The 27,968-nt window shown below is 41.7% G+C and overlaps 1 protein-coding gene and 1 non-coding gene across 4 annotated transcripts in view, besides 1 other annotated feature; both read right to left on the reverse strand.

The window, feature by feature from the left end:
• HS3ST3A1 (heparan sulfate-glucosamine 3-sulfotransferase 3A1) overlaps positions 1-27,968 on the reverse strand; it is a 107,898-nt gene that overhangs the window by 34,919 nt on the left and 45,011 nt on the right. Inside the window, exons 1-2 of one of the 3 annotated variants that reach the window (XM_011524114.4) lie at positions 11,714-18,993; positions 10,117-10,369 (exon numbers count right to left, since the gene is read on the reverse strand). The exons of 1 other annotated variant lie outside the window; for it this stretch is intronic. In XM_011524114.4, coding sequence (XP_011522416.1) covers positions 10,117-10,118 — 2 coding nt within the window. In that variant the 5' untranslated portion in view covers positions 10,119-10,369; positions 11,714-18,993. Of the gene's footprint in view, positions 1-10,116; positions 18,994-27,968 lie in introns of those variants that run through there. One more of the 3 variants, XM_047437228.1, reaches the window with a different exon arrangement.
• Positions 14,579-14,696, reverse strand: MIR548H3 (microRNA 548h-3). The gene has a single exon (NR_031679.1). It is a non-coding gene; the product is annotated as a microRNA 548h-3 (primary transcript).
• Positions 27,414-27,929: an enhancer, noted in NCBI's record as "H3K27ac-H3K4me1 hESC enhancer chr17:13459681-13460196 (GRCh37/hg19 assembly coordinates)". NCBI's record gives its function as "activates a minimal SCP1, AML or CMV promoter by ChIP-STARR-seq in naive H9 embryonic stem cells {active_cell/tissue: H9 hESC(naive)}" and the evidence as "EXISTENCE:reporter gene assay evidence [ECO:0000049][PMID:30033119]".

The raw sequence follows: 27,968 nt of genomic DNA on the forward strand, positions 1-27,968 counted from the left end.
GAGATAAAGCTGGGAAATACGGGATCCAACATAAACAGCTGTCACAAACACTCTATGTATATACTCCTATTGGTTTGTAGACTCTGATAAAGGGAAATGGTAGTCCTGGGAGAAGAATGAGCTGTACAAAGCAATAAAATATGTAGAATTCCATAGCATAGTATTTTTGACAGCCCTAAAACAGATATTTTACTTCTATGTAGGTGGTTTCCTTGAAAAAATAGCACCTGCTATTTGTTAAGGAGAGAATGAATTACTTGTCCCATGGTACAGTTAAATCAATCATATCATAACACCAATCTATCATGTAAAATTCATCTCTAGGCCCATGTTTTGAGGAAAGAAAATGGCAGTTAATATTCCTATTGCTGACTACTTATTCAAGAGAAGAAAAAGACATGTTTATGTGGTTCTAAAATAACTTCCTTAAGCCCATTATCAAATTCTAACAAGGAAGACCATCCATCCTAAGGAAGTTATTTTATAAATCATAATTTGCTTTTATTAAAAAAAAATTACCAAACTGCATTCCAAGAAACACAGAGTCCTGTGGGTTTTTCATTAAAATGCTTTCCACTGTCATTGTAATATGGGAAACACTGTATGTGACAAATCCCATTTGACTTTTCACAGTGAATCTTAGAAGTCCACAGACTTTAAAAGTCTACTGTAAAAAATCCATTTATGTTTGTTGAATTCATTTCCTATTCATATTTGATCACAAAATCCTCCTACCTTCACGGCTCTCAAGAAAGATATGGAAATAACACTACAGGGAAAACATTTTGTGGGTTGACTTTGAGGAATTCAAAAGCATTTCCTATCAAAACTTGCTGAACACAACCCCAAAGTCTCCTTGTAAATGTTTTAGGGTTACTCCATGAAATGAGAGGATGGCTAAGCAGGTGGGTTCTAGAGCTCCCCCCCACCCCAATTCAGTCATCATGAATTGTATTATATATTAAGAATTTGTAACAGATGTTTAAGGAAAAAAAATGAGTTCTAGTGCTACAAATATTTGAAACCACAACAGCAATCAATCAATTTATGTAACTACACACACACACACACACACACACACATACACACGGGTTGGGGTGGGCATATACCTACCATTAGGAAAAGGAGAAAGACCAGGGGCTTGATCTCAGAAGAAGAAATGCCCCCTTTTCATTCCTTTGAATAGATGCAATACAAAGTTCCCAAAGGACACTCCTGCTCAGACATATGCAGTCCCACCTAAAATATAGTTCTTATTTTTAGCTTTGAATAAGTTAAGAGGAAATTGCAAGGATCATTATCACTAATCATTTGAGGTATAAATGATGTCTACAAAGGATATCCAGAAAAGATGGTGACAAGAAGTTATGGGTCAAATGACAATCACAACAACAATATCAACAAGGTAGTTCACATACATCATCTCTAATCCTGACAAACGCCAAGCAAGGTGGCATTATTATTCCCACTCTCCAAATGACTGAAGTGTAGAGAGCTTCAGTAACTTGTACCAAGTTAGCCAGATGATAAGGAGGTGTGGAGAGACTTGAACCCAAGACAGGCAGATTTCAAAGGCGGTCCTGTTACAAAGGCAGTGGGTCACACTAACTTTTAAAAATCATATATAGACAATCTAACAATCTGTTTGGTTATGAAACAAAATAGATTGATGCTTCTCAAAGTTACCTCCCTTTGTAAGACTTGGGGGAGCCTGCCACCACCCCAAAAGCTGATAGTCCTGAATCATGGCCTTTCTCTGCTTTATCCTCCCCATGGCCACAGTCAGCACAAGTCACAGTCAATACAAGTATAAGCAACTCAATCGCTCAGTTTTCTGTATGTGGCTTTTCATTTTTTCAGTGTGACAAATGAATACGAGGCAGGCATTTTCTTTCTTCCACCCAGTAGTTTTACAGTATTGACTCAAGCCCTTCCTCTCTTCCCCTGAGACCTCTTTGAGGTGGGCCAGTGAGGATCCTGATCCCTCTTCTCTGGCTAGAAATGAACCCAGTGACTTTCACATCCTGATAAACAGAATCAGATGCTATTGAGTGTTTCCATTTGATTGGGTCAAGCAACTATTCCTGAGGTCGATTCAGTGTCATCTGAACTCAAGAGAATCCATGTATTGCATGAGCTTAAACTTCTTAATTTAATCAAGCATTTAGGGAATAAGCACAAAAAGATGGCTGTGCAATTTTATCGCGATATCTTTCCTAAGTGAATTCAAAGCAAAGCATGGGTTGACTTTGCTCAAAGAATGACCAACTCTTAAAACATGTCCATTAGTAAATAGCTCACTCTTCAAAATCAAGAACTCGGGGTTGTATTTTCATCCATTTTTCTCACAGTTGCAATTCCTGATGAACTAGCTCCCGTTGCATATCACCTTCCCTTTCATCAGAACAGGAGTTTTCAAATGGCAGCTATAATGGTGGAGTTTGGGTGGGGTGCTGATCCTACCCACATCCCGATATCTGAGTGAGAAAAACGAAATAGGTTTTGTCCCCTTTAAAAGTGTTTCAGACAGGAAAGACCTCCTTGAATGTTATAAACTTGAATGGGAAAAAATGTTCATTCTCCTTCCCCACCCCCACCCAGTTCCCAGCATCTTTGTTTGAACCAAGTCTCAAAAAACATGTAAATCTTGGCCCAGACTAAGCAAATCACCTTAAAAAGGAAGGTTAGAGAACTGTTTATTATTTGAAATGTCTCTCTCCAGACCTTATTTTTGATAAATTGGCTTCAGCTTCATTACTTCATGATATATCTCCCTTGACATTTAATTATACTTACTCCAAACACATTAAGCGAATCAGTCTGAACAGCTTCTTATTAATATGCAAATTTCTCCTTTGAAAACCCATGAATCTGTGAAAAATCTCTTTAGGCTTCCATTAAACCCACTCAGGAAGTTGTATACCTCACACAGACACTTGCCTTATTCACTGACTCAATGATTCAGCATTTACTAATTGTCTGAGTTAACTATTCTGGCCACATCAAGGGGAGGTGGTAGGAAAGAGAGAGGGGACAGGGAATCAAATGGGATTCAGAAGCTGAACACTTAAAAGATGAATGATCAGAGGCCAGGCTTGAATTAGCGGCTGGTAGTTAGAGCTCAAAATCAAGGCTCTTTGCAAGCACAATCAGCCAGATGACTTGAAACAGCGTACTTTAAGGGGAGAAGCCACGGACTTAGTTCACCAATGACTTCTCTGGCAGTTCTGTTTCAGATGAAGACGGGCTGCTGAACACAGGATCTTCTACACATCTCTTATGCCCTCCCAAGCACTGGCTGCACTTGTGTTCCTTTACCATTGCATTTGCAAAAGATCTGATTGTCATCAGGTAACACAGCGGGGCATAGGTAGAGTGGTTCTAGTTAGCAATGGTGCCAGGAAGACCAGGGGCTGACCAGGAGAATGCTGAGTTCAAATTAGGAAACAGGGTCCTAAGGCTGTTGGGGGTCAGAAGCAAATTTCAAAGAAGCCTGGGTTTTAGAAACTGAGAAACAAAGCCTAGCGCTTCAGGAGCTAGCTGAACACCTAGCAACAAGGAGATGGAGGCAATATCGTGAGGAAATGAGTTTTCCAGGAGAGTCCAGGGCCCGAGGGGGGCCAGAATGAAAGGGGAATAAAGTGGAGATCAACACAAGCAAGATGGGTATTAGGAGTTTACGAGAGAGTCGCTCTTAAATATCTGCTGATGGAATACTGAAGATGGGCAAAGACAATCATTTTCCATAGTCCTATCAGACAAAAGTCTGAAACTGGGGACATCTGGGCAGCAGGAGATAGAAGCATCAGAGAGCAGCATGCAGGATTCAGGTTCTGGTGTTTTTTATCATCTTTGTTGAGTATTTCCAAGACATATTTGCAACTAGTAAACAATATGGTTATGGTTACACACACACAAATACATATACGTGTGTGTGTGTGTGTATATGTTTATATACACACACACACACACACACATGCTTTGACTTATGATAAAAATGGAGGAAATATAATAGGCTGTTTTCAGTGACATCTGGATCTCACCCTGAATAATCTCATCCACTCTAGACCTCAGTTCCATCATCTTATCAAAAAAGGACAACAGCACCTGCTCCATCCTTTTTATAGTGTTGCTGTAAGAATTAAATTGAATAGAATATGTCAAGATTGTGGAGGAGGGGGGAACTGTGTAAAGTGTAAAATATCTACATGTATAAGGTTAATATATATAGTCAAGTTAGGCTTTCACATTTGCTTACCAACCTTGTAAATGGCATGCACTGCTGAATAGTAATTAAACTGCTTAATAAGGGAAATAGGAAAGAAACGAATATTTAATACATATCTGCTACAATCCACACACTGCTTAAGGTGACTTTGTAGGTTATCTCACTTTATCCTCACAGCAACCTTGAAGAAACAGAAAAAGGAAATGTCATCGTCCTAAGTCTTGTTTGGAAGGAGAAAGGTCTGGAACAGAGACTCTGTTTTCAATGAGTTCCCAGACCTTTAAAGGGGAGGTAAGAAAAATAATAATGAAAATATACAAAGAATACTTATAAACTGAAGTTACTAATTTTTAAGGCAACTCTGTATCTGTCATTTGAGATTGGTTCCATTCATTGCAAAGAATTTAAATCAAAATAACAAAAAGCAGGAGAAATCTGATTGCATCACGATAGAAAGATGTTACTTTCATGGAAACAACTTCCTAAAGCTTTAGATAGGGTCTATAATTTGATCAAATAGGAGAGCAATAACCCAAAAAGAAACAGAACCAAACAAAATCTTCAGTGACATTTATTGTCGTCAAAGATCATAGTCTAGAGTATAAAGTTCTTTTCTTGCTTGTTTAAAATTCCTGCCTTATTTAATGTAACAAATCAGAAGAGAAAGAACTTAACATAGGAAGGACTGTAAATCCCTGAAGAGCTTCTCTGAGAGCATTTTCACAGATGTCTCAGAGAAAGAGAGAGAAAGAAATTAGGATGAATTTAGTATTTTTAAGAAAACTAGCCAGAAATATCAATTTGGGTACTTTCGTTTGTCTCAATTCCATAGATCCCGAAGCAATCACAGGCATTAGAGTCTTGTTATGAAACCATAACCTGCAAGTTTTCTTCCCCTTGACTAGGTAGGTAGAAGAATGTGATAGGATGAATGCATGATGTGGACAGTCCAAATCCTGCTTGCTCTACTTAGTAGTAGCTGAGATAACTCAAGTCTTTGTTTCTATAAATGGCGTTAATGTCTAACTTACAGTGTTACTGAGAAAATTAAAGCAGATACATATTTAAGATGCTTGGAACAAGTACTCAAAAACGGAAAAGATTGCCATTAAACACACTCCTTGAAGATAGGATACCTTTTATTGTACTTTGCCTCCTTCAGGGCATTTGAACAGAGCAGACTCTCAACACATACAGTCAGTTCTTGTTATTCTAAGTAATTATGTTCTATAAAGTTGCTGCAGTCCAGGTGTGGTGGCTTACACCAGTAATCCCAGCACTTTGGGAGGTGGAGGGAGGTGGATTGCTTGAGCCCAGGAGTTTGAGACCAGCCTGGGTAACATGGTGAAACTTCATCTCTACAAAATCCAAAAAAAAAAAAAAAAAAAAAAAAAAAAAAGTTAGCCGGGCATGGTGGCATGCACCTGTAGTTCCAGCATCCTGGGAGAATGAGGTGGTAGGATTGCTGCAGCCCAGGGAGATCAAGGCTGCAGTGAGCCATGATGCTGCCACTGCCATCCAGCCTGGGCAACAGAGTGACACCCTGTCTCAAAAAAATAAATAATGGCAGGGTGCAGTGGCTCACACCTGTAATCCCAGCATTTTGTGAGGCCAAGGCAGGCAGATCACCTGAGGTTGGGAGTTCGTGACCAGCCTGACTAACATGGAGAAACCACGTCTCTACTAAAAATACAAAAATTAGCCAGGTGTGGTGGCGCATGCCTGTAATCCCAGCTACTAGGGAGGCTGAGGCAGGAGAATCACTTGAACCTGGGAGGCAGAGGTTGTGGTGAGCCGAGATTGTGCCATTGCACAACAGCTTGGGCAACAAGAGCAAAACTCCATCTCAAAAATAAATAAATAAATAAATAAATAAAATGAAACATTAATTAGTGAATACTGAACCAATGCTCCTAGAGGAAACATAGGGCTAGGTTCCTATGAGTTTCTGGTCACATTTTGTCAAATGCTCAAATCATAATCTTGTTTTATGTGTTTCTGTTTAAAGACACATTATTTAATATATAGTTGATGCATTAACACTAAACTCATGGCCAATAGTGCTATACCTTGTGCCTGAAGGGAGTTTGTTAACATATGTATTTTCCCTGCAAGGCACATCACAGCCTTCTTGTGCTTAGGAACACTAGATGGCAATTTGGCACTACACTTAGGGGCCGTTTTAAACAGTGAAATCAACAAAAAGCATGAAAGTGCAAAAACCAAGTCTCCAAATACATGCAAGAAAGCCAGGTTACAGTATGAGAGCTAAAACAAGAAGGGAGAGTGTTGTTTCATTCAACCTCAGCTGCAAACCTCAAGCAACTCAAATTTTTGGCAGCTCTGGGCATGCCCACAAATGACTGTGAAAGTGCTACAAGTCTTGATTCTGGAGTTACAAATAAATTTAGCAAGTAGGCAAATTTGCAGACACAAATCTGTGAATAGTGAGGATCAACTGCATTTGTTAAATGGATGTATAAAAAAAAAGAAATTAAAAACCCATGAAAATAGGCCAAATATATTGGGATGTCTGTTCTTCCAAATCAGCTTCTCCCTCTTAAAAAAAATCTTTCTTAAAAAAGTAAAAATATGTATAAGTCAGAAACACACCTGTTCATTGCAAAATGGCAAGTTGGTATCAAATGGCTTTTCCAATGCTGATGAATGGTTTCTAAGGTTTTACTGACCCATTGGCTACCCTCTGGGGTGTGAACAGGGAAAACTAGCAAATTCACAGAATTATACTAGATTCTTTCATTAAGATGAGAAACTGAAATATCAGCAAGGTTCTGGTGACTCCAGAACCTTCCCAAAATGACCTAGAGAACCACAGTTACTAATCTTGCAACTGCTGGACAGAGTTCTATTTCTCAGAACTTATAAGTCAAGTAATATGCTTGGGTTTAGCGATACTTTTATGGTTAAAATAAGAAAAGTTATACTTCATCCCATTCTCATTTGTCATCTCCCAGAAGTTCAACTTCAGAGCCCAAGCTTGAAAGAAGGCATTTTGGTTTCAAGGTCTCTTTTCAAAGAGATAAACCTGACAACTTTGCCTGCAATGTCAGTTCCAAGATAAATGAGCTTATGCTATTTTTTAAAATTTCTGTTTGGAGACAAAAAAAAAAATTAAGTTGTTTTAGAAGAAAGTCAAGGGCTAATTTATGGAATGGACTTGATTTTCTTTTATAGACGTGAGAAAATATACTCTTTGTTAATATAAGTTTTCTTTTGCTCTATAAGACAATGGACACAAGCTTTCTGCTCCCCATCTCCTGGGTACCCAAGAGAGTGGGTATTCCCCTCTGCACTGTCACATGGTTCCAAAAACAGGAAGGGGAAAGTTTTCTTGGAATTAAGATTCAAATTCCATAATACAGAGAAGATCCAACCTCACCATTAATGTTGCTAACTGACCACGCCCACGTTTAACACCCCTAGGGTGAAAGCTGCTGATCACTTCCAGTTGGCTTCTCTTAACACATGGAAACTGACAGTCCCAAATGAGAAGCTTCTTGTCACAAAATCATGGAGCCAGGTTAGGCTCTCTGGGCATGTAACCCATGCAGTCCCACAGAGTCCTGCACTCAAAAGATCACCATACTTAGAAGGGTTCTGCCTTTGGTTTAATGCACTGACACTGCAGTCTTAAAATTCTCATTTTTCTTTTTAACAAGGATCCCTACATTTTCTTACTGCCCTGGGCCCTGAAAATTATGAGCCTAGTCCTGCATGGAGCTAGTTAGTAGCTGAGGAGGATTGCACAGACTCCTTGTCCAATACTTCTCCCACCTATGCTAAGTGACCTGACGTAAGGTCTGCGAAGGACAGTACCTCCTCTGCAACTATGATAGCTCACATACGCAGACTTCTGTATGGTGTCAACTTTGTGCTTCAGAGCATCCATCCATCCATCCATCTGCCTAGGGCACGTCGTGAGCCAATCACTCATGCACTCCTAGCATCAAACACATTGGAATCATAGCCTGAGCTCTGCTAGGTAGAGGATCAGTTTATCTTTATTAAGAGAATGAGCTAACAGACAGGCAGGTTAGGAATACAATCTTTTCTTGGATAAATAGAGTGGACTTCATTCACTCCAGCTGCATCGTGTGGCATATTTTATGCATATGTATTTTTATAAAGCAACTAGAGAAATAAAGCAATCTTATATCATCTAAGAACAACAATCTGACTTTCTATTTGGCAGGCTGCCCTGCAATCCTTCCTTTCTCAGCTCCTCCATCTCTCTTCCAGGCTCCGGGGGCCGCCTCCCTCTTGTCCCCATTACTTTGCACAAAGGTGAATAAATCAACGTGAAGCTCTTATCATCTTATTTTCTCTCTGCTCCCTTCTATTCTGTCCTCCCAATCTTGAATGGTTTGAGAGAAATTAATGCCTGTGTCTCTGGCAAATGTATTGCGCCTATAATTCAGTTTTAAAACAAGCATACCAGCAGTGGCCAAACCTTGGGTAGAAGATTCATTTTTCACATGAGTAATTGGATCCTTCCATTCAATTTTCTTTCAAGTATTAAAGACAACTGATGCCTCACTGAAAACTCCTATAAAATTTCTACGAACACTTGTCAACTGAGGGTAGGGCTACCCTGGAGGGCAGGTGGTGGCACTGGCAAAGCATTTTCCTACAGTTCACAGGTAGAAGGTTATTCCAAGGTAGTAAAAGTAATAAGAAATCTTTATTTCATCAGCCTCCACTTTATGCCATCAATATTTCTGTAAGGTTAAAAACTCAGCTTTGGTGTTTTCTTAGGTGACAACATTATTGGATTTAACGGACTTGTTCAACTAATACAATAAACATTCTTTAGCGATTGCTTTACTGTGCCAGGGTTTCAAAAGATGCTTGTATTAAGAAACATCTATTTGGTCTGTCAGGGCTACATTTGTGTATTTTAAATGACACATCATCTCTATAGTGTTTTTTAATACAACAGAAATAATGTGTCTTACTACTTAATGGTTAAACATCCAGCAACTGCATTTTGCAGAATGAAATTCACCATGATATTGGATACTGGGATAAACCCTTTGTGTTTACAGATGGTTATTCTACTTTTTTTGCAGACAAATTTATTTCAGAATTGACTGAAATGGCTCAATTACTGACTGACTCCAAGCCATCCCGATTAGCCACAGAAGTGATCTGACCATTTTGCAAGTCATCAAGGTTGTCTGTTGCTATTTTCATAGTAGCACTTAGAAATTCTTAGAAATTCATTCCGCTTACCCCGGTTACCCAACAATTGTCTAATTTTTCACTTCTGATGCTTATCACTAACCCCTTCTCCCTGGGGTATTGAATTCTTTAGAAAGTAATTGTGGGCCACCTGTCCATGTCTTCTTCTGTAATGGGAAATGAAAACCGAATGCCAGCATAATACTCTGACCCACATTTCTGACCACTCCTGAAAGGTGAGAACATTAAGAGACTCAGGCAAGATCCCCCAACCACATCATCTGCTTGGAAGGAAAGGAAGACTGTGCAGCATCTACCAATGAGGAAGTCCCAGGTGTTTTGGTTTTGCTTTTCTTTTCAATCAAGATTTGGGGTAAAATCAGGGGACACGAAAGCAGGAGAGCCTATCTGGAGAAGGAAGAGGATCATGGAAGAGTCTATAAAACAAAATCTATCAGAAATCTCTTGGCCAACTAACTGTCATGTACTGCTGTTTAACAAAGCATCCTTAAACTTAATGCTTGCAACAATACAAAACATTTATTTGCTCATAATTCTGAAATTTAGAAAGGGCTCAGCTAAGTGATTCATCTGCTCCATGTGATATCAGCTACAGTCACTCATTTAGCTTTAGTTGACGGAGAGGTCAGCTGGGGCTAGAATGATATCGAGGTGGCTTCACTCACATATCTGGGTCCTCAGCTGTGGTGGCTGAAGATCTGGGAGCTGTCTGGGCCTCTCCTCAGCAGGGTTGTTGAATTCCTTATTTGGTGGCTCAGGGCTCCAAGGTGAGCCACAGCAGAAGCTGTCAGGGCTCTAAGTGGCTAAGCCTGGAGTTGGCACAACATTGCTGCTGCCACATTCTAGTAGCTGATGCAAATCCCAAGGCCAGCTCAAATCCAAGTGGAGTGAACATAATTAGATTCCATGATTCCGTATCTGGATGGGGTAAATGGAATGCACAAATATGGGTGGGAGAAATAGTTGGCATATCTATGGAGACAGTCAACCGTACTAGCTCCCAATGTTTTTCTCAACCCTAGCGTGGATGAGGGTACTAATGGTCAGCTCAGGGAGTTAGTGGTCACTCTCCATAATTTCACTTCACAGGTTAGAGACATTGGCAAAGAACATCTTTTTCTTTAAACATCACTGCGTGTTTGTTATTGGATTCTCATTTCAAATTGACTTGAGCTTCAGACCAGTTCTAGCACCATGAGTCAATTTGTAAGTCAAACAGGCAACTTGTTTAGGAATCAGAGCACATGATTCATATTCAAGCAATCAAGCACAAAGAAGACAAAACACCTTATTTATGCTGCCTTCCTCAATTCGAAAGAGACGTTAGCTTCCAATGTCACAGGAAAAGGAACATGTCAGTGAAATTTCCATAGACAATAGTATTAACACATGATTTGTCGTTGAGCTTCTAAGAGTCTGAAGGGTCCTCAGAAAAAAATTCTGATTTTGTATGATCTTTAACTTCTTTACTCATTTTAGAAGCTCACCACCAACCATGTAAGATGAGATTCCACCCATTTGCTCAAAATGTGTCACTAGAGCTACAAAGAGAGGGTGCTCCTGGGCACCCCAGTTTGGGCTTAGTTAGTAAATAAGCCTAAATCCCCTCTCTAAAACATGGTTTAGATTTGCAGATCAAGACTGATAGACTTCTCTTTTGTGTTCCAACAGAAAGTAGTCCCTTGGGATCCACCTTAGGTATAAATAAAACATATTTTTGTGAGTGAGAAAGTAAACGATTTCTTTCTAATTTCTGATTGACCTCTGATTCCTAGGCTTTTGTGACAGATCACAATGTCTTCAAGCAACAATCTATAATGTTCTAGTGTTATCTGTGTCACTGACCAGCAGCTTGACACTGGGCAGGGTGGTTTTTCCCTTTCTGAGTTCTTGCCAAAGGGTTCAGGGTTAAACATTAAAGGTGCATTAAAGCTCTAGTTAGTGGAAAGGGTTAAATATCATCATCAAATTTTACTCTTGCAAAATGTTTCACAGGTTCCAAAGCATTTTGTGTAATTGCCTCATTTGATATCAATTTCTAGGGTTCCTTCCATCTTCAACATTGTATGATTTGATGGACTAAAAATGCATGCTCAATTGATAAAATGTACCTTTTTCCAGTAGTTTAAATAGTCAAAGACTTTTAAGTGCTCCTGCTGTGGAGAAAGAAAAGTCTGTTTCTTTCATCTCTGCATTTACGTTGGAAGACCAGATATCACTTTCAAAATATTTTTTCAAAACTTAAGGAGAGGTGTGACTTACCACTTAATGATCAGCCTTTGCTCACACATTTCTGTGGTTCATTGAGCGAACTTCACTGTAGAACAAGAGTCTCCTAGAGAAAAAGCATTCAATCTATCTTCCTGGAAGATCTTGGCATTCATTCCCCTTAGGGGCTACCCAAAAGAGCAAAAGGGAAAGGCAGAAGGGATCTCTGGGACCTCACATCCTTATTTAAGCAGAGAAACTCCCCTTTTATCAGTGTTCATTTTCACTTCAGTGTAAAATTTCATTTGAACTAGGAGTTCTAAGGTCATCAAATATTTGAAAACTACTGCTTAAGGGAACACATGTGGATTTGTAAATCCTGCTAAATCTATTTATGTATTGTGATATAATTCTCCCTACTGATGCTGTAAAAAATTGTTTTAAACTGAAAGCTATGATATAAACTATTCCAACTGACCCCACATATCCCCAAAGGCCTCCTTTAAAGTTCTACTCTGTGGTTTGAATGAGTTTTTGAATGGATGCCAAAGATTTCCTATCTCCTCTGCTAAAGAGGCTAAGACTACAAAAGAAGCCAAGCCAGGGGGAAAGAAAAATTCCAGCCATAAAGTTTCAAAGAATTCTCAGATATTAATTCTGACCCAAGTGCCAGAGTGATTCACTGGCGGGTGATGCTGAGTAATCTTACTTTGGACTCTTAATCCATGTTCTATTAATGGATTTTAGCCACAGCTCAAAAGGTTAGGAATTAAAGACCCCATTTCCACCTCTTTTTATTAAATTATTCTAACCTCATCCTGGGTAATTCATCACTGTCTCACTCGCTCTTGGTACACACATTGGGAATGGAAGGGCCAGTTGATACAATCACCCTGTCCACCTTCCCAAACACATTCTAATAAAAAAAGAGCCCTAAGTCCAGTTTCTCTGAGATTTGAGAGGGTGGTTATTCCAATTTTACATTCAGTACTGCTGAAGAGTCAGTTCCTAGAGACTCTTGCTCCTTAAGGAGTCTCTTTCTTTAGTAGAATCATACCCTTTGCCTTAGTTTTGGTAATTTTCAATGTTGTTTAGGTTGAGCCTTTGAACATCGTGACCAGATGGTCATCTGTTGGCAGTTTCCATAGCATTCGTTCAGTGGGCACAAATCTTGAAGGCTACTTGAAGAAAGAGGATGAAGTTCAGATGGTTCACACACCTCCAGAAACCTCTTTCAACTGTGAACAATCTTGACTTGCTGTGGTTTCTGTACATGTAGTAAAGCATGTTGAAGGAATGGATGCCTTGACTTCATTGATACCTGGAATGGACGGAATTATATCCCCTCAAAATTGGTAAGTTGAAGCCTCAACTCTCAATGTGACTGTATTTGAAGATTAAAGGGCATTAAAGGAGGTTATTAAAGTTAAATGAGGGGTCGGGCACAGTGGTTCATGCCTGTAATCCCAGCAGTTTAGGAGGCCAAGGCAGGTGGATCACTTGAGGTTAGGAGTCTGAGACCAGTCTGGCCAGCATGGCAAAACTGCATCCCTATAAAAAATACAAAAATAGCTGGGCATGGTGGCGTGCACCTGCAGTCCCAGCTACTTGGGAGGCTGAGGCATGAGAATCACTTGAACTCGGGAGAGGTGGAGGTTGCAGTGAGCAGAGATTGCGCCACTGCCCTCCAGCCTGGGCAACAGAGCGAGACTCTGTTTCCAAAAAAAAAAAAAAAAAATGGTTAAGTGAGGTTGGAAGAGTAGATCCCTGATCCAACAGAATTGGTGTTCTTAAAGGAAGAGGAAGAGATACCAGGAGTATGTCTGCACAGAGGAAAGGTTGTGTGAAGACACAGAGAGAAGGTGGCCATGTGCAAGCCAAGGAGAGAGGTCGCGGGAGAGAACAACCCTACCCATCCTCAATCTCAGACTTCCAGCCTCCAGAATTGTGAGACAATAAACTGTTGTTTAGGTCCCCCAGCCTGTGGCACTTTGTTATGGTAGCCTGTGATATTTCGAAATATCACAGGCTACCATATTTTGATATTTGGTCTTCCTGTTTCCTGGCTCATCATTCCCAAAACCCTTGGAATCTAAAGCAATAAATTTCTTTGTGAATGTTAATGAGATGACTGGTGGCTGGGGGCTCCTGGATAGCCTCAGGATGGGGGATGGTTGCCAGGGGAATGTTGTAATTAGAGGGTTGAAACTTTCAGCTCCCCCACTACCACCACACACACACCTCTGGGGTGGAAAGAGGAGCTGAAGATTGAGTTCATCACCAATGGCCAGTGGTTTAATCAATCATGCCTATGTGATGAGACCTCTACAAGAACCCAAGACTGGGTTCTGACAGCTTCCAGAGAGCTGCACACACAGCAGTTCCTGGAGGTTGGTGCAACCAGGGATCTGGGAGCTCCAAACCCCTTCCTACATACCTCGCCCTATGCATCTCTTCTATCTGGCTGCTCCTCTGTATCCTTTGTAATATCCTTTGTAATAAGTGGGTCAACATAAGTGTTTCCCCGAGTTCTGTGAGCCACTCTAGCAAATTAAACAAATCTAATGAAGCGTTCATGGAAAACCCCAATTTATAGCCAGATAATCAATCAGAGGTATACTAATCGCAACAAGCATTTAAAGTGGGGGGCAGTCTTGTGAGACTGAGCCCTTAACCTATGATATCTGATGCTGTCTACAGGTTGATGGTGTCGGAACTGAATTGAATAAGACACCCAGATGATGTGTGCTGGAGAATGTAGTGTCAGAAGTGTTATATCGAGAGATGTGTGGAAGTAGAGAAAAAATATTTTTTTTTCTCTGACATAGCCCAAGCAGACTAATACAGTGCCACAACTTCAACATTTGGAATCAGTCTGAAGAAGAGAAGTTTCCAGAAGACATTATGGCTGTTTTTAAATATCTGAAGACAGTGACTACTTTTAGGTTGGTGCAAAAGTAATTGCAGTTTTTGCTATTACTTTCAATGACAAAAACCGCGATTACTTTTGCACCAACCTAATACATGCAGAATCAGATTTGTTCTCTGTGAATCTAGAAGGAAATCTAGAACTGGTTGGAAATGTTTTAAAAAATAAGGAATTTGTCTCAATGATAAAAAAGGAATTTTTAACTGTTAAAGCTTTTCAAAAGAAGAATGAGAATGAGCTACATAACAAAAGTGGGTAAGATCCCATCTCATAAATAACCATCGATCTGGATTCCGAAGCATCACAAAGAATGTTGGACTACCAGGACTCTATGATGACTTTTAAGTGGTAAAAGTAGGATTTTAAAACCCTCTCATCAAGGGTTACCACTAAGTAGCTCATTATCTTGGGCAAGTTGCCCAAAGTCTCTTCATCTCAGTTTCCAAAAATCTTTTTAAAAAGAAAGTACAGTTTTTGTGAAAATTGAAAAGAATATATTAGTAAAGCATCAAATAAATAGAAAACATTATCATCATCATCATGCCATTGGTGTCATCAAATGAAAATATTCCAAGAAAAGAAAAAATATATAATGCTTTCCATTCATATGATGAAAATATATACATTTTTTCTTACTTTGGGTTTGCTTTAAAAATATAAATATAACTGTGCTTCTCATGAAAAGGTAATCATATAAAACCATTAAAAACCCAAACCCTGGAAGTTTGCCTTACATCATAAGAAGAAGAGCAACAAAAAGCCTTAGTGAAACTGAACAGAGTGTTCTCTTTTCCCTGATGGGTGAGATGCGATCTGCACAAGCTGTGAGTGTAGAGAAACAAATGCTAGTCCTTCAGCTGTAGGGGTCTGGGACGACCTTCCTAACTAAGGCAAAACTGCCTTTTCTGTGAGTCACCCTTTGAAGGAAGGGCTCGCTGCCTGGGAGCAGTTTTACTGTTTCACATTTCTTTCATTCATCACTTTTCAGGCCCTGCGCCGTCTGGCACAGCCCCAGCCTCTTTGTGTGGATATCTGGCTCTCATTGCTGCAGAGAAGTGATGTCAGGAGGCTCTGACTCAGGTGAGCAATAAGGAGCAGATGGCGCCTCCACAAACCCAGAGCCTCTCCCCGCACCCTGCTCCTTGGAACAAGAGTAATTATTATAAATGGGATGGGTGGTGGGATAAGCAAAGATCCAAGTTTTCTAAGAGGATCTGCAAAGCTGAACCCTCCAGGAAAAAAAAAAAAGTGCAGCCACCAGCATGGACAACAGAAAGGAACCCTGATTGGAGATTGTTTAGGAACATGGTGCTCACTCAATTGGGCGTTGTGCTAATCTGATTAATGAAATGACGATGCTAAGCGGGGCGTTCAGCTTGCTGCATCCGTAGCTAAGGCAAGTTGGGCAATTCCCCCCAGAACATCAATTCTCAGCACCCTTGTCAGATAACTGTTTATGAAAAGATGAATGCACGTGGCAATCTCGGGTGAAGGAGGCTGATGCATGTGTTGTTAATGATTGAAATAATCAGTTTGGTAGTAACTGGCATGTGCGCTTGTCAAATGACAGGCTGGGGAGCATTAGCATTCCTCAGGCATGGACGCCTTTATCTTCAGGCTGGTGTCTGACAACTACCAAGATCACCCATGAATAAATATCGGGCCTTACCCAGACATAATTAAACTGCCAATGCAGATATACCTAAATAAAATTGATATCTTAATGACACCAGATAGTGTTCAAGTAATGAAAGCAGTGTGAGAGGGACCTGCACAATGAATGGAGACATCAGTGCTCATTCCACAGGGGACTCTTCCCCCAGTAACTCCTCACAGAGGTTGCTTCTCATCGTGGTGGAGTTTTATTTCTGGCCTTTTCTCTTCGATTGGCCTGCCTTCACCATCTGAGAAATCTTTCCTTCTTTCTCCCTAGCTATACCGGAGAGCTATGTATCTCTCTGCATGGAAGAGGTTTGTGTATCTTTTGTTACACTCCACTGGGCCACAGAGATTTTGGTTTTGTGACATCTGAAATAACCCCACTATGCTTAGGACACCAGTGTTTGCTGATCCTGGAGCTGCGGCTGCATCACCTCCTCCACGGAGTCCCGGGAGAAACCTCCGTTGCTCATGTCTGCATCACTCAGTACATCCAGCAAAATGCTAAAAAGCATCAGGTGGTAATCTCAGCATTTTCGGGGGCCGAGGCGCATGGATCACTTGAGGTCAGGAGTTCGAAACCAGCCTAGCTAACATGGTGAAACTTTCTCTAATAACAATACAAAAATTAGCCGGGTGTGGTGGTGCGCACCTATAGAGTCCCAGCTACTCAGGAGGCTGAGGCAGGAGAATCGCTTGAACCCAGGAAGCAGAGGCTGCGGTGAACCGAGATTGTGTCACTGCACTCCAGCCTGGGTGACAGAGCGAGTCTCCTTCTCAAAATAATTTAAAAAAAAGTACCAGGTGAATCTGATCTCCAGCCTCTTGCCAGCTCTGGGGGTCGTTTGAGAGAGAGAGTGCGTATGTGCATTTATCTGACTAATTTCCACCTGTCCGCCCTCTCTGACTTCATAAAATTGACTGTCTACCACGTGGACCAACTCCTCACCACTAAGATGCAAGCACTTTCATCTTATCTAGTCCTTTATCTTTATATGCCACTCCCAGGAAAAAATGAATCTGCCTCTGAAACCATTTCTACAACTCCTTATCATGTTTCTTTTTTCTTTTTCTTTCTTTCTTTTTTTTGACGGAGTCTCACTCTGTTGCTAGGCTGGAGTGCAGCGGCGTGATCTTGGCTCACTGCAATCTCTGCCTCCCAGGTTCAAGAGATTCTCCTGCCTCAGCCTCTCGAGAAGCTGAAATTACAAGTGCGTGTGCCACTACGCCCAGGTAATTTTTGTATTTTTAGTAGAGACAGGGTTTCACCATGTTGGCCAAGATGGTCTTGATCTCCGGACCTCGTGATCTACCCGCCTCGGCCTCCCAAAGTGTTGGGATTACAGGCGTGAGCCACTGCGCCCAGCCCATATTACGCTTCTTAATTGCCGTTATCTTGCAGTAGATTTTTCCTACTGATTTCCCTATGGAAATGGCACCCCCTCTTTCAGCCTCTCTCTTTAACTACCTCCTTTGACTAAAATGTGATTATTCATAGACTTAATTTGCTCACCTGAAAATCGCTGAAGTTGGACAAGATCATCATTTCTCAAACTGTGTCCTCTAGAACACCAACTTTTCGTAGTACAGTGCCAAGCAGCAGTTGTTCAATAAATATTTGTTGAATAAATGAAAATACTTGTGTCATGATAAAAGGGATTCTGGAGACAAGTGTAGGGAGAGCTGAGAAAAATGTGTTTAATCTTTACTCTAAAACTTTTCAGACCTTCCGATGGGCTACTAAGCAGTATAAAACTTCATATGGTATGCAACTTTTAGCAAACTTATTTAACCATGGAATTTCATGTTTTGCAGTTGCCTAGGAACCCGTCACAGAATATACATTAGATTTAATGATTACCAAATTTCTTTTGGCTATTAAATTCTATGACCACATGTCTTACACAGAGACCCATCCATCACTCCCATTCACCTCAAGGGAAGAAAATAAGTCTTCAACTTCATCCCTCCCCATAGCATCTAACACTATGTCTTTCCTTTTAAAGTCCTGTGATCATTAAAAAAAATTTGGTCTTTGTCCCCAGTTCCTGACACAGCTCCTAAAGCCCTTGGAATTTTGGGAGTAATAAGTGCCTTTTGCAAGTAAATGTGATGACTGATGGTTGGGGGGCCCCTAGATAGCTTCAGGGGAACGGGTTGCCAGAAAGACCAACGCACCATTAGGGAGTTGGAACTTTTAGCCTCACCCTACAACCTCCATGGAGGGGAGAAAGGGCTGGAATTGGAACTAATCAACAATGGCCAGTGATTTAGTTCATCATGTCTATGTAATGGAACTTCCATAAAAGCCCCTAAACAACCAGGGTTCAGAAAGCTTACGGAGGTGCTGGGAGGCTGTGCACCCAGAGAGGACATGGGAAGATCCATGCCCTTCCTCCACACCTTGCCCTAAGCATCTTTTCCATTTGGCTGTTCTTGAGTTGTATTCTTGACAATAAACTGGTTATAATAAGTACAGTCTTTTTTGAGTTCTGTGAGTTGTTCTGGCAAATTATTGAACCTAAGAAAGGGGTTATGAGAACCCTTGATATTTAGCCAGTCAGTCAGAAGTACAGGAGGCCTGGGACTTGGGATTAGCATCTGATATGGGGCAGCCTTGTGGGAGGGACTGAGCCCTTAACTCCAGGGATAGGATGCTAACTCCAGGTAGATAGTGTCAGAATTGAATTGAGTTGTTGAACACCTACTTGGTGTCTGGAGAGTTGGAGAATTGGTTGGTGTGAGCCAAAAAAAAAAAAAAAAAAACCACACGTTTGGCGTCAGGTATGGTGTTATTAAACACAGCACAGTAGTCCTGATTATTTAAATATACTAACCAAGTCTAAATTCTCACTTTCACACTCTCATGGTTTCCAGTAGCCATTTTCATTGTCTGATGACTTTGTATCTGTATTACTTCTCTAAATTGTTACAGTTACTTTGGGTAGCTATAACAAAATACCACAGACAAGATGGTTTATACAACAAATATGTATTTCTCCCAGTTCTGGAGGCTGGGAGGTCCAAGATCAAGGTGTAGGCAGATTCAGCATCTAGTGAGGGCTCTCTCCCTGCTTTGTAAATGGCCATATTCTGTGTCATTCTCACATGGAGGAGTCAGAGAAACCCCTGGTCTCTTCTTTTAATAAGGGCACTAATCCCGTCATAGCATCTCTACTCTCATCCTCTCACTTAAGCCTGATTATCTACTGAAAGTGCTATCTATACCAATACCACCCCATGGAAGATAAGGGCTTCAATGTATGAATTTTGCAGGAACATGTTTAGTCCATTATATCCACCATGTGTCTTAATATCTTAGATAGTGTTCAGATTAACAAACCGTCTCTAATCCTATCCCCCAGTCTACCATATTCTTAGACTTCACTGGCAGTCTCCACTCCACATGTTGAGAGGTGAAGCTGACTGGGCTTCTGGGTCGGGCGGGGACTTGGAGAACTTTTCTGTCTAGCTAAAGGATTGTAAACACACCAATCAGCACTCTGTCTAGCTAAAGGTTTTCAAACGCACCAATCATCACTCTGTAAAAACGCACCAATCAGCGTTCTTGTGTCTAGCTAAAGGTTTATAAACACACCAATCAGCACTCTGTAAAAAATGCACCAATCAGCGCTCTGTGTCTACCTAAAGGTTTGTAAATGCACCAATCAGCACTCTGTAAAAACACACCAATCAGCACTCTGTAAAATGGACCAATCAGTGCTCTGTAAAATGGACCAATCAGCAGGACATGGGCAGAGCCAAATAAGAACTAAAAACTGGCCACCCGAGCCCGCAGCAGCGATCTGCTCCGGTCCCTTGCCACACTGTGGAAGCTTTGTTCTTTTGCTTTTCACAATAAATCTTGCTGTTGCTCACGCTTTGGGTCCGCACTACCTTTATGAGCTATAACACTCACCACAAGGGTCTGCAGCTTCATTCCTGAAGTCAGCAAGATCACGAACCCACTGGGAGGAACAAACAACTCCGGACACGCTGGCTTTAAGAGCTGTAACCCTCACTGCGAAGGTCTGCGGCTTCACTCCTGAAATCAGCAAGACCACCAACCCACTGGAAAGAAGAAACTGCAGACACATCTGAACATCCGAAGGAACAAACTCTGGACACACCATCTTTAAGAACTGTAACACTCACTGTGAGAGTCCACAGCTTCATTCTTGAAGTCAGCAAGACCAAGAACCCACCGGAAGGAATAAATTCGGGACACAATGTCATCTACCCACAAAGGCTCATAGTTGTTATTGCATTGCACTGCTCAGCCTCTGAGCTCTCTTCCTTCCTTCTGTGTAAAAATTTCCTCTTGCCGCATTCCTTTGTTCCACCGCTGTTCGACAATCCTCTGACCTCAGGGCACTTTCCTGAACACTGATGACTTCCAAAGCACTAAGTCCACTCATCCTCTTCTGATGGTGGTTGCTCCCCACTCTACTGGGCTCCAGCACTGGACTATTGGACATCACCTAGCCAAGCCCCCTAAACCCCCATACAGACTTAACATGGTTCCATGCCGACTGTCACACAGGAAGCTCTTCAGCCACGTGCTTTGTTCCTTTTAGCGTCTAAGAAAATTATTGGGAAAAGTCACGAAACTAGTTTATTTTAGTTCGCCATAAAGAGTTGCCAATTCTCATAACTGAATTAGTTATTGTACCCTGAGGAACCTTGATTCATTTCTTATTGATAAACTTTCCTTTCCTGTAGACCCACTATCTCCAAAGTGCTGACAGGATACTGATAAATATTCTATGGAAAGAAGGTTCCATGGTCATATAGATATTGGGGGAATATAAGGCTAAATTTAAATAAACTTGTCTCATTTATTCTCAGAGCCTTAAAACACTAGCATGCATTGTGAATTTGCTAAATGTTGTATATGCAACACCACACAGCATATACAAGTTTATGTGATAACTGAATCCGTTTAGTAGTAGTAATCATTTTGTTTTGTTTTGTTTTGTTTTAATTTTTTAGAGTGCATGGACTAAATTTTGAATGACTTTAGTTTAAATTTTCTTTTCAGGACTCATGACAGAAAGGTTCACTGGCTGTTCACCCAGCCTATTCCCTCTTCTTCCTGAGAACACAGCTACACCTCATTTGCCAACCTCCCTTCCAGTATGGCATAAGGTGTGAATGACCTCTGGCCAAGGAAATTACAGTAGAGATGACGTGCATTGCTTCTTAGTCTGGTCTTTGGAAACCTCCCTCCACACACGCCCCCCATGTTCTTTTCTGGTTCTGGCTGCTGGAATGGAGCTGAGCCCCTGAGCGATCTTAGAAGCATGTGCTGTGTGAGGAGCCTGGGTCCCTGAATCACCACTTGGAGCTGAGTCACCTGACCAAGAACGCCTGCATTGTCAGTTTTATGAGTGAAAAATAAACTTTGTTATGTAGACACTAAAATTTGAAGATATATTCAGGACCGAGATTAGGATAAGACAAATGCGGTACTTACTTGCTTTAGGTGCAAAATGGAAGGCAAACACCAAAACAACAACAACAACAACAACAACAACAAAACAGATATAAAGATAAACAAGATGCGATATTTTTTAAAAATTCAAATCAGGCCCGGCGCAGTGGCTCACGCCTGTAATCCCAGCACTTTGGGAGGCCAAGGCGGGCAGATCTCGATGTCCGAAGATCGAGACCATCCTGGCTAGCAGAGTGAAACCCCGTCTCTACGAAAAATACAAAAATTAGCCGGGCATGGTGGCAGGTGCCTGTAGCCCCAGCTACTGGGGAGGCTGAGGCAGGAGAATGGCATGAACCCGGGAGGCGAAGCTTGCAGTGAGCCGAGATCGCGTCACTGCACTCCAGCCTGGGCGACAGAGCGAGACTCTGTCTCAAAAAAAAAAAAAAAATGAAATCAATTCAAAAAAATCTATAACGAGTAAAATACCAATAATCACGAGGTCAGGAGATCGAGACCATCCTGGCCAACAAGATGAAACCCCGTCTCTATTAAAAATGCAAAAAAATTAGGTGGGCGTGGTTGTGTGTGTCTGTAATGCCAGCTACTTGGGAGGCTGAGGCAGGAGAATCGCTTGAACCTGGGAGGCAGAGGTTGCAGTGAGCTGAGATCGGGCCACTGCACTCCAGCCTGGCGACACGGAGAGACTCCATCTCAATAAATAAATAAATAAATAAATAAATAAATAAATAAATAAATATAAAAATAAATACAGGATCACCATTTACTTGCTACAGCAGCCATACCCAGCTGACAGAGGTTTCCAACACTCACACAGCAATTGATAGATAAACAGTCCCACCACTGTGGCCATATCACTGTCCTGTTCAGAAGGGGTTACTAGATATCTCAAAACTGCCCAGCCAGAGTTCTTCACTTTTGGCTCTAAACGATTTTCCCTGCTTAAATAAATTTCATTCCAAGAAAAAAAAAAGGGGGGGGGGTATTTTTACGTTATTTTGAATAAATTGTATTCACTTACTTCTTCATGCTTGTCCTCAAACAGCTTCCCATTCCTAGAATTTCATTCTTGATCATCTTCCTGATCATATCAAATCCTTATTAGTTAAGGTCCAATGACCTCCTGTGTGCAACTTGACCATAATGATTTGTTTTCCACGCATTTGGTATTTCCTTGTGGCATTTCCTCTTCCTCTTGTATGTTTTTTCTTATATAATTTAACTTGAGGATTACTAGCTAACGCTTCAGATCTGAGTCTACTCTATCTAACTAAGCTGCATGCTTTGTAAAAATAGGAACCCTGTCTGAATCCTCTTTCTATTCCCACCTGCACAGGACACTGATGGGCACTTACTGATTTGATTTACACCTGATTTTATTGCTGTGTGACTGGCAATTGCTGTATTTGGTTCTTGAACACTTTATTTTTTTATTTTTATTTTTTGAGACAGAGTCTCGTTCTGTCGCCCAGGCTGGAGTGCAGTGGCACGATCTTGGCTCACCGCAACCTCCGCCTCCCAGGTTCACATGATTCTCCTGCCTCAGCCTCCTGAGTAGCTGAGATTACAGGCACACACCACCACACCCTGCTAATTTTTTGTGTATTTTTAGTAGAGACAGGGTTTCACTATGTTGGCCAGACTGGTCTCGAACTCCTGACCTCGTGATCCACCCGCCTCGGCCTCCTAAAGTGCTGGGATCACAGGCGTGAGCCACCGCACCTGGCCGGTTCTTGAACACTTTAATTTTCCCTTGGCTGACCACAATACTGATAACCTAAGCACCAGGCATGGCAGGGCAAAATACGATTCCAGTGTTGATCAATACAGCTTCCCCAAGGAAGCATTCTCAAGGGCAACGTCAAAGGGGGATTCAGAGGAGGCCGTTTCTGCCTCATCTTAGGTGGCTGGCTTTGGCTCTGTCACCTCATTTCTAAGTTTACTTATAAAGAGAATCCCCATGTATACAGAAATACGTCTTTCTCCAGAACTCTGCCTACTGGTTGGAGGAACAGTGCTGAACCCAAAATGATTAACTGTTTTAGGCAAGGCTGGAGAACTTTTTCAAATGTAAATTAAGACAAAGAAAGGCACAGCTAAGACCTTTCCCAATTCAGCATGATCAGCTGCCCTTGTGCTTGAGAAGTGGAAATGGATGTGGTATACTGGAGAAAAGTGATTCCCACTTTTCACATTTTCCATTGCATGCACATTATTGGAGCCTTGAATAAATCAAGTCAAGAACTTCTTCCCTCTCTGGTAGACTTACAGTCCTCCCCTTTAAGCAAGAAGGAGAATTATAATTGACTGCCTAGAAAAGTTGCCTGTAGTGCCATTTGGAATTCTAGTCCCCTGGGTCTAAGGCTTCCTGGTCTTTCTAGGACCATGTTAGTTAAAGCTTCTTTTGTTTTTCATGGGGCAGAGTCTACAATGTTTTTCATGGGGCAGAGACTACAAGAATTGCTTTGGCTAAAGGGTGCAAACAAAATACAGGATCCCAGTAACAAATGATTTCACTGTGTCTCTATGGCTAAGTAGAGAGCTGGAGTCATTCCTCCCTTCAGCTATGACAGTGCTGGGTTGAGGAGAGGTGTTCTGTAAGTTCACAGGACAGGAAGCGCTGATGCCCCAGCAGGTGCAGCATTGGGGTTGGCCATGAAGACCGCCATGACATACCTTGTGTGAGAGAAGCTGCTTGCAGAAAGGAGTGGGTCTTGTGGCTGCATTCACCAATGGTTTAAGCCAGAAGCCATCATTGCACTGGCAGCTTTAAATAACAGCATCATTACAGACCTCTTTGATGAGGATACTGTGCCTTCTCTCTTAGTTGAAACAACTAAGATCTTCTCTACCCTTGATTTTGTTGGGGTCCTCAAGACCTGTCCAGATTAGATTACATTCTAAATAAAAAATCCATATCTCAAATTCTGAACAGCAGTTCAAATCCCCTGAATGTCTTCGATTTGATTCCTTACCAATCAAACACCTGTCCACATCATCCCTTGTTTTAAAAGCTTTTCTTCTGAGATGCCCCTAGCCAGCTAACTTACTCTTTTCTGGCAACTCCTAGAGTTCTTTCTAGACATGTGAAATAATACTAGTTTATCAAAATACCTTTTTTTAAGCTCATCATCCCTAATCCCCTTCTCTCACACATTCTCCCCTCTCAGGTACTTCCTTTGAAATCTGTAAGTAGGCCCCTGACCTAACTATCCACATCTTAATTAAACTTCCCTTAAAATAACATCCAGGAGGAATTTTATTCCACTGATACTGCTTACAGATAGGAGCTATAGAGCAATAGACGATCTAATAATTGTCCTATAAAAACTCTAGACAGGAGTCTGCAAGGAAAATTAGACACAAAGGTAAGGGAGTGATGCCACTGATATCATCACCAGGAAGCATGAGGGCCAGAGACTCAAAAAAAGTCACAGATTCAGAAGGAAAAAGAGCATTTTTGAAAACTTCCTGCCTCATAAGCAAGACATTCGATTGTACCTTTTTTCTGAGAGTTTCTATTGAGTGGCTAGTCTGTGTTCTAGGCAGAGGCTTGGCAAGACTACTGGTCCAGTTGCAAAGCCTAAGGCCAAAACCTGGTGGTTTGAGTAGCTCTGAGCCTTCCACGGATTCCAGAAAAGTAGCAGGAAAATTCACAGCGCTCAGGAGGTAATTGCCAGTTATTGCTCTACTGGTTCCAATTTTAGTAGCAAATGAGCAATGTATAATGTATCAAGCTTATTAAAAAATATAAATGAGAAATAAAAGTGCTCACAAGGGGAATGGGAAATTCACAAAGTTTTACAAGATACAGTCATTACCAGAGCTGACATCTGACAGCCGCTAGGCCCTGTGCGGTGCTGATATCTCTGTGATGCCTTGTAGGCTATGTGCTCAAGGCAGCTCAGTGCAAACCCCTGAGGGGTGCGCAGCTGATTATTGCCTTTCTTGTTGAGGGGTGCTGACTTTGGAACTGTTAAGTCCCCAGACCTACCAAGGCAATCTAGTTCGAAGCATGCTCAGCCTCCTTTTGAAAGAGAGATAAAGCAAAGGTTTTGTCTTTCAAGCACGAAGAGGAAATGTTCATCCAGATTTTCAAAACCTGCAGGGTTGGGATAAGATGCCATCCCTGAGGATTTAACAGATACCACCTTCCTCCACCATACCCTCCACCCCCAACAAGTCTAGTACCTTATTATCTTGAAACTAAACGATGGTAATATCCCCATAAATTATCTCCCCACAGGCAGACTGCCCCCTAACTCTATTCCACCCTATGTCCTGGTGTGCCAAATTAGTATTCCTCAAGCCCCCTGAGAATAATGTCACTTAACCTCATTCAGCAGCACGTGCCTGATTTGCAAATAACTCACAGACATTTCAGTCTAGAATTCACCATTTTCACCAATGGTGTCCCACGCTACCTACCTCGTCGGTGTTCTCACCCACTACTCCCCAGCGGTGACCCCCATTTCTGCTGAACAAAAACACTTATGGCTTCCTGAGCACAGATTACACCCTTATGCCTCCCGCTGGGTGGGCCTTTTCTGCCTGGAGTTCATCCTCCCTCCATTCCACTCCAGGAAGTCTTTCGCAAACCCTTGTTTTTATAAACCTACCGTGTTTCAAGCAGTATGGGAATGGAACAGGTGGAGGAAGAAATGTAATCTACTTTTGTATAAAGGGGTGTCGCATTCAACATTAAACCCATTTCACTTACACAGATTCAACTTGGCAATGGGGAGACACAGCACAACTGAAATGATGCAGGCAATTTAGCCTGGTGTTCAACTAGGAGCCTGTGTCCTAGAAAACAGAAATGGGGCTGAGACTCACCTGTCTTCTCCAAGGTCCCCAGATCCCTGAGGGCCCCTTAGAGTGGAAGCATCTTGCCTCAAAACCATCCTAGACTTGATTAAAGAGTTTCTCAAGTCGATGTTAGACTGTATTAAGAGCTTACTTACACGTGGAGTTTTAGACCTAACACCCAAACACAACATGATTTCTCTACATGCACAAATATGTCATTTTTTCATAAAATAATAAAAATGCAAAAGATGTTTATAATTAACAGAAGGTGCTGAGACAATCATTTAACTACTTGAGATAAGAAATGAAGCTCCAGCAGCACCTCAAACCACATGCAAAAGTCAACCCCAGATGTGTTGAGTTAAATGTGTCTGAGAGTATATTATATTACATATAAGAACTTGAAAACAGATGAAGTCATTCCTGAAGAACTGTTTTCTAAGCATAAAAGCAAAGGCACGAATTATGAAATAAAAGATACCTTTGGTTTCGTTAGATTTCCTCCTTCTCTTGTCTTTCTCCCAATCTTATGCAAAATGACCTAAGAAGAAGAAAAATCTGGGAAGCCCTTCTTCAGTACTGAGCCCTAGTGAAGGGTGGCATCCACATTCAGCTTTGAGGAATCAAGTTAAAGGATGACACCTAGGGCCATGTTGCACAGATATAATACCTTCCCGAAAACAGTATGTGATGTGATGAGGGGCTACACCAGAAGGACTTCAATCTCCCTAGATTTGGGGAGAATTAGAAAGCAAGGCAAAGCCGGCCGGGCGCGGTGGCTCACATCTGTAATCCCAGCACTTTGGGAGGCCGGGGCGGGCAGATCACGAGGTCAGGACAGGGCAGACCACCCTGGCTAACATGGTGAAACCCCGTCTCTACTAAAAATACAAAAAATCAGTGGGGCCTGGTGGCGGGCACCTGTAGTCCCAGCTACTCGGGAGGCTGAGGCAGGGGAATGGTGTGAACCCGGGAGGCGGAGCTTGCAGTGAGCCGAGACTGTGCCACTGCACTCCAGCCTAGGCGACAGAGCGAGACTTTGTCTCAAAAAAGAAATAAAATAAAAGAAAATAAAATAAATAGATAAAAAATAAAAAGAAAGCAAGGTGAGGCCGGTCATGGTGGCTCATGCCTGTAATCCCAGCACTTTGGGAGGCCGAGTCAGGCGGATCACGAGGTCAGGAGTTCGAGACCAGCCTGGCCAACATGGTGAAACCCTGTCTCTACTAAAAATACAAAAATTAGTCAGGCGTGGTGACAGGCACCTGTAGCCTCAGCTACTCGGGAGGCTGAGGCAAGAGAATCGCTTGAAACCGGAAGGCAGAGGTTGCAGGGAGCAGAGATCGCGCCACTGCACTCCAGCCTGGGCGAAAGAGCGAAACTCCGCCTAAAAAAAAAAAAAAAAGCAAGATGAAATCAGCATAAACAGAAATGCACTCAGAAACTCAATGGCAGCC

This window comes from Homo sapiens, chromosome 17 (genome assembly GCF_000001405.40).
Source record: "Homo sapiens chromosome 17, GRCh38.p14 Primary Assembly".
Classification (NCBI taxonomy): domain Eukaryota; kingdom Metazoa; phylum Chordata; class Mammalia; order Primates; family Hominidae; genus Homo; species Homo sapiens.